Raw genomic sequence first — 13,427 nt, forward strand, 5'->3', positions numbered from 1 at the left:
TCTTTATTTTGTATATATTGAAATTATTTCTCCAATAAGATGCCTTTCCAAAGAATGTGATTTACAATAGCATCAAAAATATCAAATATATAGCAATAATCTAATAAAAGATATGCAAAAGCTCTCTGTAGAAAACTATTAAATATTATTGAGAGAAATTAAAGAAAACTCACATAAATGGAGATATATAATGTGTTTATAGATTGGAAGACTCTATATTTTAACAATATCTATTCAATGTAATCTCAATAGAAATCCCTGCTGCTTATTTAATTGTGTAAGTTAACAAGTTTAGGCCAGGCACAGTGGCTCATGCCTGTAATCCCAGCAATTTGGGAGGCTGAGAGGGGCATATCACCTGAGGTCAGGAGTTCGAGACCAGCCTGGCCAATATGGTGAAACCCCACCTCTACTAAAAACACAAAAATTAGCTGGGCATGGTGGTGCATGCCTGCAGTCCCAGCTACTCAGGAGGGTGAGGCAGGAGAATCACTTGAACCTGGGAGGCAGAGATTGCAGTGAGCTGAGATCATGCCACTGCACTCCAGCCTGGGTGACAAGAGAGAGACTCTGTCTCAAAAGAAAAAAAAAAAAAACCATACAAGTTTATTCCAAAACATATATGGAAATGCAAATGACCTAAATAGCCAAGACAATGATGAAGATGAACAGAGTTGAAGGACTTGTACTACTAGATTTCAACATTTACTGTGAAGTTATTAGTTAGGGCAGTGTAGCATTGGTACAAGGATAGGGGAATAGACCAACAGAATAGAATACACTCAGAAATAGTTTCATATGTACACATCCCTAGATTAATAACAAATGTGCCACCACTGCAATTCAATGGTGGATAGGATGATATTTTAATCCAATGGTGGTGGATAAGTTAGATATTGTATAGGGGGAGGAAAGGAAAACTTTGACTCTTACCTCATAACATACATAAAAATAACTTGAACTGGATCATCAACCTAAATATGAGGCAAAACCAATAAGGATTCCAGAAGAAAACATAGGGGAATATTTTTATGTCCTCAGGGTAGGTAGGCAAATATTTCTTAAACAGGACACAAAAAACTCTATGAAAAATAAATTGACAAATTATACTGTATTAACATTAAAAACTTCTTTAATCAAAAGACACTATTAGGAGACCAAAAGGAGAAGCCATGGATTGGGAAAGTATATTTGTAAAACATATTTCCAACAAAGAACTCATAACTACAATATATAAAGAACTTCTACAAACCATTAAGAAAAAAAATCAGCCCCATTTTTAAAAATAGGCTTGGTCAGGAACTTCATAACCAATAAATATATGGAAGAGTGCTTCACATCATTACTCATTAGGGAAATGTGAATTCAACCACAATATGATATCACTACACATCCCAGAAGAACATCTAAAATCAAAAAGTCTGACAATACCAAGTGTTGGTGAGGAGTGGAGCAATGGGAACTCTCTTACATTGCTTTTGGAGTGTAAATTTGGAAAAGGTTTGGCAGTATCTACAAATAAATCAATATCCTGGCTTTGCAATCCCATTCTTAGTATATACCCAAGAGAATCTGTGCTATGTGCATCAAAAGACACATACAAGAATGTTCACAGCAATTTATTTGTAATACCCCCAAACTGAAACAACCCAAATATCCAACAACAAGGAGAAAAGATGAACAGAAGTTAGAATAGTGATGGCCTTAAGGATGGAGTTGTAATTGATTGGGAAACCTTATGGTTTGCTGTAAATATCCAACTTGCTCTGAATAGAGGTTCTCTGGGTATAGATGTACGTAAAAATCTACTGAGTTGCATACTCAAGCTTCATACAACGTATGCACTTTCTGCATGTTATATTTCTATTTTAAATATTTTTAAAAGCTTCTACTAGATACTATAAAAGAACATATTCATGACGAATATTTCTTAAATAGGAAATTAAGGCCCGGCGCAGTGACTCACACCTGTAATCCCAAAAGTTTGGGAGGCCAAGGTGGGTGGATCACGAGGTCAGGAGATCGAGACCATCCTGGCTAACATGGTGAAACCCCGTCTCTACTAAAAATACAAAAAAATTAGCCGGCCATGGTGGCTGGCACCTGTAGTCCCAACTACTCAGGAGGCTGAGGCAGGAGAATGGTGTGAACCTAGGAGACGGAGCTTGCAGTGAGCCGAGATTCTGCCACTGCACTCGAGCCTGGGCGACAAAGCAAGACTCCGTCTCAAAAAAAAAAAAAAAAAAAAAAAAAAAAAGGACATTAAAGCACTAATAGTAAGGAAAGGACTGATAGATTTCACCATGTTAACAATTAAAAACTTCCCTTTATCAAAAGATGACGTTAAGAGAATGACAAGCCTCTGAGTGGTGGGGGTATTTGCAATACTTGTAACAGACAAAGCATTATATCCATATTATATAAAGAGCTGACTCTATGTACATGTTTGTGTATGTGTGTGTATACCTACAGAATAAGGAAAGAAAAATACAGAGCACACAGTAAATAAATGAGTAAAAGACATGAATAAGCACTTTGCAATAGAGGATACTAAATGGCCAATAAATATATGAAAACGTGCTCAATCTCAATAATCAACAGGGAAATACAAATAAAAACCATTTACGGGCTGGGCACGGTGGCTTACGCCTGTAATCTCAGCAGTTTGGAAGGCCCAGGCAGGTGGATCATTTGAGGTCGGGAGTTCGAGACCAGCCTGGCCAACATGATGAAACCCCGTCGTGGTAGTGGGCACCTGTAATCCCAGCTACTTGGGAGGGTGAGGCAGGAGAATTGCTTGAACCCAGGAGACAGAGGTTGCAGTGAACCGAGATCACGCCACTGCACTCCAGCCTGGGCAGGAGAGCAAAACTCTATCTCAAACAAACAAGCAAAACTATTTACACCCACCAAAATGACTAAAATTTAAAAGACCATGTTACCAAGTGTTGGGACAGATATAGAGTAGCTGCTTCTCTCGTATACGGCTGAAGTGTAAATTGGTACAATCACTACTTTGCTGTATTTATTAAAGTTGGTGATATGCACACTCTAAGATCAGAAATTCCATCTCAGGTTTGTACCTAGCAGAAATACATGCATGTATAGTGCAGGAGACATGCAAAAAAAATGCTGATAGCAGCATTACTCAGAAACATCAAAAACTAGAAATAATCCAAATTTTCAAAAGAAAAAAAAAAGCAGGAGCTGAATATGGTGGCGCATGCCTGTCATCCCAGCTACTTAGGAGGCTGAGGCAGGAGAACTGCTTGAGTCCAGGAGTTTGAGTCCACCCTGGGCAACATGGTGAGATCATGTCTCTTAAAAAAAAAAAAAAAAAAAAAAAAGACAGGAAAGTGGTTTCCTTAAAAGTCAGTGTTGGAAATAAGAGCTCGGAGTCGCAGGAAAAACAAGCACTCAAACAATAGGTTTCTCAGCAAAGCAAGTTTACTTCTACAGAAGGCTGCCGCTCATGCTTCTGGCCGCTGCGAGCACAACTAACAAAGGAGAGGAGTTTTTATCCCTAACATAGTCCCTATTCCTGTGTCCTTCCCCTATTGGCTAGGGTTGGACTGCACAACCTAAGCTAACCCCAGTTGGCTAAGACTTAAACTTTTCAGCCGGGCATGGTGGCTCACGCCTGTAATCCCAGCACTTTGGGAAGCCCAGGTGGGCGGATCACGAGGTCAGGAGATCAAGACCATCCTGGCCAACATGGTGAAACCCCGTCTCTACTAAAAATACAAAAAAATTAGCCGGGCGTGGTGGCCCGCGCCTGTGGTCCCAGATACTCGGGAGTCTGAGGCAGGAGAATTGCTTGAACCCCTGGAGACGGAGGCTGCAGTGAGCTGAGACTGCACCACTGCACTCCAGCCTGGCGACAGAGCGAGATTCCATCTCAAAAAAAAAAAACAAAAAAAGACATACTTTTCCAATTAGGGTAAACGTGCGATTCGCAAGGGAGGGTGGGGGATAGGAGTGGTCCCTCTGCTACAGCACAAGGCGTGTTCGGACATGTCTGGGCAAGTCCGGGCACAACAAGAGCGGGAGGGCTGCTCACAGGCTAGAAACAAGAAAGTACAAGGAGGTGAGGCTCCGAACCAAGGACAAGGACATTACACAATTAAACCCTTTGAAGACGAATTCACCATCTCTGGCAGTCAGAATGATAGAGGGAGACAATTGCAGATAGAACAAGGCCTTTGGGAGAACGGGGAGTTGAAGTGGAGGAGGTGATGCTGGAGTACTGGGAATGTTCTATTTCACGATGAGTGTGAATTACAGTTTATGGAACTGTGAGTTTATGTTTGATAACACTTCTCCAAGTAAGTGTTACATTTTGCAATATTAAAAAAAAAAAAGAAACTTTAAAATTAACAGGGAAGGCCGGGCGCAGTGGCTCAGGCCTGTAATCCTAGCACTTTGGGAGGCTGAGGCGGGTGGCTCACCTGGGGTCAGGAGTTTGAGACCAGCCTGACCAACACGATGAAACCCCGTCTTTACTAAAAACACAAAAAATTAGCCGGGCACGGTGGCAAGTGCCTATAATCCCAGCTACTCGGGAGGCTGAGGCAGAAGAATTGCTTGAACCTGGGAGGTGGTGGTTGCAGTGAGCCAAGATCCCGCCACTGTACTCCAGTCTGGGCAACAAGAGCGAAACTCCATTTCAAAACAAAAAAAATTACAGGTAAAAATCAGTAACATGTAGGACTTGACCAGATAGAGAAGGGAAGGAAGGTTTTTATAGACAGGGCAGAGAGCACGAGGGAGATACAGGGCCTGGGGCGTACCAAGCTAGTGGATTGGCGGAAGTATGGAAGGCTGTCTGAAGGTCCCACAACAAGGAAGCGTGCAGTGGGAGACAAAACCAGGACAATTCAAGGCCAGGCTATGAAGGACTGTGAATAGAACCACCACACATGACTGAAATTTGTGCCCTGCATCCAGGTACCAGCCAAGAGGGCAAAGGTATTCACCCTGGCATGTGCTGGGTCTGCTGGAGGAAGAGAAATTCTTTTCTAATTGCACAAAACTTCACCTCATGGAGAAGATAGTATCTCCTTATATGTTGTTTTTTCTGTAATTTGAATGTTTAAAAATATATATTTTTTATTTATATATGTATATACTATATATGTATATATAGTATATTATATATTCCGTTAATTTTAAAGTTTCTTTTTTTAATACGTATATAATATAGTATATATTATTATATATAATTATATAATATAGTATATATTATTATATATAATTATATATATTATAAAATATATTATATATAATTATATATTTATATATTATATAATATATAATATATTATATAATATATTTCTATATTTATATATTATATATTATATATTATATATTATATATAATTTTATATATTATATTTATAATTATATATATATAATATATATATATATAATATATATATAAAATATTATATATTATATAATATATAATATATATTATATTATATAATATATAATATATATTATATTATATAATATATAATATATATTATATATGTGCATATATTTTATATACTATATATTATATATTTTATATATAACATTATTATATACTATATAATATATTTTATATATAACAAATATATTATATAGTATATAATATATTATATATTTTATATATTATATAGTATATAATATGTTATATATTTTATATATTATATAGTATATAATATATTATATATTTTATATATTATATAGTATATAATATATTATATATTTTATATAGTATATAATATATTATATATTTTATAGTATATAATATACATTTTATAGTATATAATATATTATATATTTTATAGTATATAGTATATAATATATTATATATTATATTATATATTATATAGTATATAATATATTATATATTATATTATATATTATATAGTATATAATATATTATATATTATATTATATATTATATAGTATATAATATATTATATATTATATTATATATTATATAGTATATAATACATGGTATATTATATAGTATATAATACATGGTATATTATATAGTATATAATACATGGTATATTATATAGTATATAATACATGGTATATTATATAGTATATAATACATGGTATATTATATAGTATATAATACATGGTATATTATATAGTATATAATATAATATATGGTATATTATATAGTGTATAATATATGGTATATTATATAGTGTATAATATATGGTATATACCATATAGTATAATATATGGTATATACCATATAGTATAATATATGGTATATAACATATAGTACAATATATGGTATATAACATATAGTATATTATATAGTATAGTATATATGTGTATATATAAGGTATTTTATATAATATATAATATATTTTATATATTATATAATATATAACATAGGTTATATATAATATATTATATGTGTTATTCTATATATATATTATATAATAGAGAGAGAGAGAGAGAGAGAGAGAGAGAGAGAGGAAGGATGTGGGACTTTATCCTGGAGGCACTGCTGAATGATAATATGCATCAGGCCTCCTCCCAGCATCAGACTCAAGTCCCTGTAAGGCTTCTTCCCTACCCAGATTAGAGGGCTCTGGAAGAGGAGCCACTAGTAATTCTTCGTCTTCTTTGGCATACCCTCCAGCAGCCTCGGAGCACTCTGTGCCTGTGAGGTTGCTGAAACATTGCAGACTGACTGGCTCCGGGCTTCCATCCATCACCATTACTGGGGCTGGGCCAACACTGGCATTTTAAAGGATTCAGCAATTAAGGTCATTAGTGGAATAAGGTGATCTCACAGGTGGAGCAGGCCTCAGCTGCTTCAAAATACAAAAAGATCAGACTGTCTCCTGAGATTTTTCACAGGCAGGCTTTGTTGATTATGGTGTTGAAAGGGGCAGTAAAGTCTTAACACTGGGTGCCAAAGGCCTGTGGCAGTCCAGGTGGGTTGTTTCCTCAATTCCTCCTTACACTCCACACCCTTGCATCTCTTTTTTTTCTTTCTTTCTCTTTTTTTTTGAGATGGAGTCTCGCTCTATAGCCCAGGCTGGAGTGCAGTGGTGTGATCTCGGCTCACTGCAACCTCTGCCTCCTGGATTCAAGCAGTTCTCCTGCCCCAGCCTCCCGAGTAACTGGGACTACAAGCACGTACCAACACACCTGGCTAATTTTGTACTTTTAGTAGAGTCGGGGTTTCACCATGTTGTCCAGGCTGGTCTCAATCTCCTGACCTCAGGTGATCCACTTGCCTCAGTCTCCCAAAATGATGGGATTACAGGCGTGAGCCACGGCGCCTGGCCCATCCTGGCATCTCAATTCTTCACAGCAAAATTCTTGAATTGGCTGAATATCTTGGAAAACGTCCTCTCACCTTCATCAGTGAGTAAGAACACTAATATAAACAAACATCATTCAAATTAGCTAGAAGGTGAGCTAATGAGGACGAGTACTGGGCAGTAAGTGGGAAGTCCTATTGTGTTGACCATTTGTCCTGGAGCACAGCAGCACCTGTTGGGCTCCCTGCTGGCCTCCTTTCCTGTGCCTGTGGTTCTCTGACTCTCTTCTACAGACTCTGTAACTCCCATGTCCCAAGCTTCAAGACTGGGAGAATTAGGGAGCTCCAGAAGCTTTGAGGGGCTTCAGCAACAAGGCAGTCTGGCTGCTCGTCCCTGTGTCACAGAGACCTGAGTCTCTGTCCTGAAAACCCATCTGGCCCCTAGCCTTCTTAGAACCAGTGTACTCAGCCTGGGTCTCCAGCGAGTGCCAGCTCCGAACTTCCCATTCTTGTGTGCTCTTACTGATAAAGACTCCTGCCATTTCTTGCAGGGCAAAAGATAATATTCAGAATTTGTCTCTGCTTCCAGTCTTTATCATGATTCAATAAAAGCAAAAATGTGATAGTTACATAAGCTAAACAACAGACTTCAGCCGCATGGCTGATATCGTATTCTATCATGTTTTATGTCCAAACAAAAGTTTTTTTTTCTTGAGACAGGTTCTTGCTCTGTTGCCCAGGCTGGAGTTACAGTGGTACAATCATGGCCCACTGCAGCATTGGCCTCCTGGGCCCAAGCAATCCTCTGATCTCAGCCTCCCAAGTAGCTGGGACCACAGGCATGCACCATTGTGCCAGGCTTTTTTTTTTTTTTCTTCTGTAGAGACAGGGTCTCCCTGTGTTGACCAGGTTGATATCAAACTTCTAAGTTCAAGTGATCCTCCCACCTCCAACTCCCAAAGTGCTGGGATTACAGGCATGAGCTGCCACGCCTGCCCTCCCATCAAATTTTTTTGCCAATGCATTCCATCCCTGCTCTGCGAAGTCAGGATACTGGTGTGATGTGAGTGAATTTAGCTGAAATATTGAGAAAGACATGTTATGCATACAAGGATATGTGCGGCCTCGTCCATGCTACACTGCTGTTCTCAGAGGTAGTTCCCCTGGAACTGCCCCCACCATTTGCAAACATCCTCTTTGGTTTCCACAAGCCAAGCGTCCAAAGAGCACATCTAGCTGCAGATTCCTGACCCTTTCAACCTGCTTCATTTAGTTGGAGTTAATTGCTCCATGCTCAGTCAAGTCACAAGAAAAAAACCACAGGTGATTATTACTATAGTCCAAAAGCCGGCCTTTTCTAATTTGATGTATGGACACATTTTGTATGACATTTAGGAAAATGAGGCGTAAGTGGCTCCAAATGAAATTCGGTCATATATAATTACCACATAGCAAAAGGAATGTAATTCAAAACTATTAAATAAAAAAATTGTCCACATTTGAGAGTTAAAGATCTTCCACTAAGGATAAATCTTCTTTAAAAATATGGTTATTGTGGCCTAGGGGTCTCACTTACACCTCAACAAAGGTAAGTACAATGAAAAGTTCATTTTAACGTCACATTTTATCATGCCCTTGACTGCATTAATATTTCTAATAGCTCATCTCTCTCATTTGAACCCTTCAAGCCTTGGACCACTTGGGGGTTTTTGTTTTATTTACCTCATATCGTTGGAGAGAGTAGTATTTTAGTGATATATAATAATGTCTCAGGCCAGGCGCAGTGGCTCACACCTATAATCCCAGCACTTTGGGAGGCCAAGGTGGGCAGATCACCTGAGGTCAGGAGTTTGAGACCAGCCTAGACAACATGGTGAAACCCCATCTGTACTAAAAATGCAAAAAACATCAGCCTGGTGTGGTGGCACGCATCTGTAGTCCCAGGTACTCAGGAGGCTGAGGCAGGAGAATCGCTTGAACCGCGAGGTGGAGGTTGCAGTGAGCTGAGATCACGCCACTGCACTCCAGCCTGGGTGACAGAGTGAGACTCTGTCCTAAAATAATAATAAAAATGTCCCACTTCCCATTTTCTAGTCTCTCTCTGTTATTGTCAACCCTTTATCTGCAGATGCTTCGACACAGCTATTTTTTCTACAATGAAGAAGAAGCTAATACTATCCTGACATTCTGAAAAAAGAATAATCTCAAAATATACAAACTTTTCTCATAGCTTAAAAGATAACATGAAAAAAATATGTCTCTTCAAGTGACTTTTTGAAATATGTTCACTGGGTATCATATTTTCACATCTTTAACAGTACCTAGCCACCTAACCTACAGAAGTGGAAGCATGGGACCTTCCGACATTCTCTTGCTCCTTGCAGCCCTCAACCTACAAGGAGTGAGTAGTGGGATGGGGAACTTCTATAAAGGCCCCTCAGAACTGGGCACAAACAGGACCAAAGGACCAAAATGGTACTAAAAGGCTGGAGGTAGAGCCAGAGACAGGAGATGCAAACAGAGGTGCCATGTCCAGGATGCAGGAGAGTCCCAGCAGGCATGGAAATGGACTTCACAATGTGGGAGGTTAGACATAAAACCCCATGAGAACCTTCCTAGGGGGCAAGTCAAGAAGCAGAATCAGAGGCCTGTGATCTCCACACTCTGTTTCTTTCTTTTTTTTTTTTTTTTGAGACAGAGTCTGGCTCTGTCGCCAGGCTGGGGTGCAGTGGCGTGATCTCGGCTCACTGCAACCTCCACCTCCTGGTTCAAGCGATTCTCCTGCCTCAGCCTCCCAAGTAGCTGGGACTACAGGCACCCGCCACCACATCCAGCTAATTTTGGTATTTTTAGTAGAGATGAGGTTTCACCATGTTGGCCAGGATGGTCTCACACTCCTGACCTCAAATGATTCACCTGCCTTGGCCTCCGAAAGTGCTGAGATGACCTGGTGATTCACCTGCCTCAGCCTCCCAAAGTGCTGGGATTACAGGTGTGAGCCACTGTGCCTGGCCTCTTTTTTTTTTTTTTTTTTTGAGATGGAGTCTCGCTGTGTTGCCCGGGCTGGAGTACAGTGGCATGATTTCAGCTCACTGCAACCTCCACCTCCCAGGTTCAAGCAATTCTCCTGCCTCAACCGCCCAAAGAGCTGGGATTACAGGCATGCACCACCACACCTGGCTAATTTTTGTATTTTTAGTAGAGGCAGGGTTTCACCATGTCAGCCAGGCTGGTCTCAAAACTCCTGACCTCAAATGATTCACTCGCCTCGGCTTCCCAAAGTACTGAGATTACAGGCGTGAGCCACCATGCCCTGCCAGACACACCCTGTTTCTTTCTTTCTTTCTTTCTTTCTTTTTTTTGAGACAGAGTCTTGCTCTGTCACCCAGGCTGGAGTGCAGTGGCGCGATGTCAGCTCACTGAAACCTCTGTCTCCCGGGTTCAAGCAATTCTCTGCCTCAGCCTCCTGAGTAGCTGGGATTACAGGCACCTGCCACCACGCCTGGCTAATTTTTTGTATTTTTAGTAGAGACAGGGTTTCACCATCTTGGCCAGGCTTGTCCTGAACTCCTGACCTCGTGATCCACCCTCCTGGGCCCCCCAAAGCGCTGGGACTACTGGCGTGAGCCACCACACCCGGCCAGACACACCCTGTTTCTTGTATGAGTTCTGTATTTTTGTGTGCCACACAAGGTTGCTTTGCATTTGGTAGTACCAGAGGTTTAGGTTGGCACCCCCTCAGATGATGACTGAACAGCTCATTGGCACAGAAACCTGGGTGGTACTCTGGGAAGGATGCCAATGGACACTCAAACAATACTCCTGCTGATTTTTTTCAGCCTACTTGCCTGACACTTAACAGTCAGCAGCCCCACTTGACCAGTGTAATGGTTAAAAGCAAGGAGCCACTTTTATGGGTTTGAATCCTGACTCTGCCACTTAACAAGTTGCATGATCTTGGGCAGGTTACTTAATCACTCTGTTTCCCTATATGCAAAACGGGGATAATAATAGCACCTATTCCACAGTGGTGTGGAGATTGCATAAGTTAATACAAGCGAAGATCCTACAAGGCCTGAAACATAGTAAGCACTCAATAAATATAAATACTAGATATTATTGTTGTTTCCACTCTTTTGGAACCTTCCACCTAATTTTTCCTGCCTCCCCAGGATCCTCCAAATTCCTTACTCACATTTCTTTACCACTGTAGACCAAAAGTCCTTATTCTCTCATGTTACCTTACAGTAGCCCTCGAGTTCCTGACAGAAGAGCCTGATTACTTTACAAAAAAAGCCAACCCATCTCATAAACTATAAAACAAAAAAAGATAAATTGGTTTTATCAAACTTAAAGTATTCAAAGGATACTGTTAAGAAAACGACAAGATGAGTCACAGATTGTGAGAAAAAAATCAAAATCTGTATATCTGACAAAGAACTTGTGTTTAGAATATATAATGAACTCTTGTCCTCAGTAACAAAAGACAACTTTTAAACTCAACTTCTAAAAATGGGCAAAAGATATAAATAGGCATTTTGCAACAGATATATAAATGACTAACAAGCAACTGAACAGAGCTCAACATCATTAGTCAACATGGAAATGTAAATTAAAACCACATTGAGAGGCTGGGCACGGTGGCTCACGCCTGTAATGCTGACACTTTGGAAGACCAAGGTGGGCGGATCACTTGAGGCCAGGAGTTCGAAACCACCCTGGCCAACATGGTGAAACCCTGTCTCTACTAAAAATGCAAAAACAGGTAGCCAGGCGTGGTGGCGGGCACCTGTAATCCCAGCTACTCGGAAGGCTGAGGCAAGAGAATTGCTTGAACCCAGGAGGCAGAGGCTGCAGTGAGCAGAGATCACGCCATTGCACTCCAGCCTGGGCAACAAGAGCGAAACTCCATCTTAAAAAAAACAAAACAAAACACACACACACACGCACTGAGAGACTGCCTCTCAATACCCTCTAGACTGGCAAAAATAAAAAAGATTGATAATACCAAGTGTGACGAGGACATAGAAGAACTGGAACTCTCATACACTGCTGGTGGGTGTGTAAAATGGTACAATCACATTGGAAAATAGTTTGGCAGTTTCTTATAAAGTTAAACATAAACTTATCATACAACCACATAATTCCACTGTCAGTATTCTACTTAAGAGAAAAATATGTCTACCCAAGGAAGTCTAGTCAAATTTTCATAGCAAGTTTATTTATAATAGCCCAAAGCTATTATAAATATAATAGCCCATTCAAATGCCATTAACAGGAAAATGGATAAACAAAATGGTATATCCGTACGTGGAATACTAATCAACAATAAAAAAGAATGACTTACTAATACATGCAACAACATGAATAAATATTTTAAAATAATGTTAAAGTAAAAGAAGCCAGACACAAAAAAATTCCCTATCACATAATCCTGTTTACATGAATTTCCTGAATAGGCAAAACTAATCTTGTAATGGCAGAGAAAGCAAATGAGTGGTTTTCTGGGGCTGGGGTATGGGAATCGGCTGCACAGGGGCATGAGGGAACTTTTTGAGGTGGTGGAAATATTCTATATCTTGATTGTGCTGGCTGGCGGTTACACAGGGGGTTTACGCTTGTCAAAACTCATTGAGCTGAAAAAGAAAATCCCACATTAAATGGTACATTTAAAATGGGTGCATTTTATTATATGTAAATTTTTCCTCAGTAAAATAACTTTTTAAAAACAACCAGCCCATTTGTTTAGCAACAAAAAAATTAGTTCTGCATGCCCCGGGGTGGCAGGGAACAAGATAGCTAGAGGCCAGAGAGGGAGTCAGTTGACTCTTTCTTAAATAGACTTTACTTTTTAGTAGTTTAGGTTCTCAGCGAAATTGAACAGAAGGTACGGAATTTACCATTCACTTCCTGTTTTTATATCCTCACAGCCTTTCCCACTAACAACATCCCACTCCAGGATGATACATTTGTTACATTTGATGAACCTACATTGACACATTATTATCACCCAAAGTCTAAATTCACTTTTGGTGCTGAACATTCTATGAGTCTGGACAAATGTATAATAACATGCACCCATCATTATAATATTATACAGAATAGTTTCATTACCATAAAAATCCTCTGTGCTCTGCCTGTTCATC

General features: G+C 39.4%; 8 annotated features.

Annotated features, from left to right (window-relative positions):
• Positions 2,275-3,047: an enhancer, noted in NCBI's record as "H3K27ac-H3K4me1 hESC enhancer chr15:80293949-80294721 (GRCh37/hg19 assembly coordinates)". NCBI's record gives its function as "activates a minimal SCP1, AML or CMV promoter by ChIP-STARR-seq in naive H9 embryonic stem cells {active_cell/tissue: H9 hESC(naive)}" and the evidence as "EXISTENCE:reporter gene assay evidence [ECO:0000049][PMID:30033119]".
• Positions 3,048-3,819: an enhancer, noted in NCBI's record as "H3K27ac-H3K4me1 hESC enhancer chr15:80294722-80295493 (GRCh37/hg19 assembly coordinates)". NCBI's record gives its function as "activates a minimal SCP1, AML or CMV promoter by ChIP-STARR-seq in naive and primed H9 embryonic stem cells {active_cell/tissue: H9 hESC(naive and primed)}" and the evidence as "EXISTENCE:reporter gene assay evidence [ECO:0000049][PMID:30033119]".
• Positions 3,048-5,363: a biological region, named in NCBI's record as "MED14-independent group 3 enhancer GRCh37_chr15:80295257-80296456".
• Positions 3,583-4,782: an enhancer, noted in NCBI's record as "MED14-independent group 3 enhancer chr15:80295257-80296456 (GRCh37/hg19 assembly coordinates)". NCBI's record gives its function as "activates an origin of replication core promoter dependent on BRD2, BRD4, P300/CBP and CDK7 cofactors, and independent of MED14, by STARR-seq in HCT116 cells {active_cell/tissue: HCT116}" and the evidence as "EXISTENCE:reporter gene assay evidence [ECO:0000049][PMID:35650434]".
• Positions 3,820-4,592: an enhancer, noted in NCBI's record as "NANOG-H3K27ac-H3K4me1 hESC enhancer chr15:80295494-80296266 (GRCh37/hg19 assembly coordinates)". NCBI's record gives its function as "activates a minimal SCP1, AML or CMV promoter by ChIP-STARR-seq in naive and primed H9 embryonic stem cells {active_cell/tissue: H9 hESC(naive and primed)}" and the evidence as "EXISTENCE:reporter gene assay evidence [ECO:0000049][PMID:30033119]".
• Positions 4,593-5,363: an enhancer, noted in NCBI's record as "NANOG-H3K27ac-H3K4me1 hESC enhancer chr15:80296267-80297037 (GRCh37/hg19 assembly coordinates)". NCBI's record gives its function as "activates a minimal SCP1, AML or CMV promoter by ChIP-STARR-seq in primed H9 embryonic stem cells {active_cell/tissue: H9 hESC(primed)}" and the evidence as "EXISTENCE:reporter gene assay evidence [ECO:0000049][PMID:30033119]".
• Positions 8,801-8,970: an enhancer, noted in NCBI's record as "experimental_41344 CRE fragment used in MPRA reporter constructs". NCBI's record gives its function as "activates a minimal promoter by MPRAs in K562 erythroleukemia cells, with activity observed for the introgressed 15:80300560 variant allele {active_cell/tissue: K562}" and the evidence as "EXISTENCE:reporter gene assay evidence [ECO:0000049][PMID:34662402]".
• Positions 10,933-10,992: an enhancer, noted in NCBI's record as "active region_9941". NCBI's record gives its function as "activates an Ori minimal core promoter by ATAC-STARR-seq in GM12878 lymphoblastoid cells {active_cell/tissue: GM12878}" and the evidence as "EXISTENCE:reporter gene assay evidence [ECO:0000049][PMID:35858748]".

Source organism: Homo sapiens, chromosome 15 (assembly GCF_000001405.40).
Source record: "Homo sapiens chromosome 15, GRCh38.p14 Primary Assembly".
NCBI lineage: Eukaryota > Metazoa > Chordata > Mammalia > Primates > Hominidae > Homo > Homo sapiens.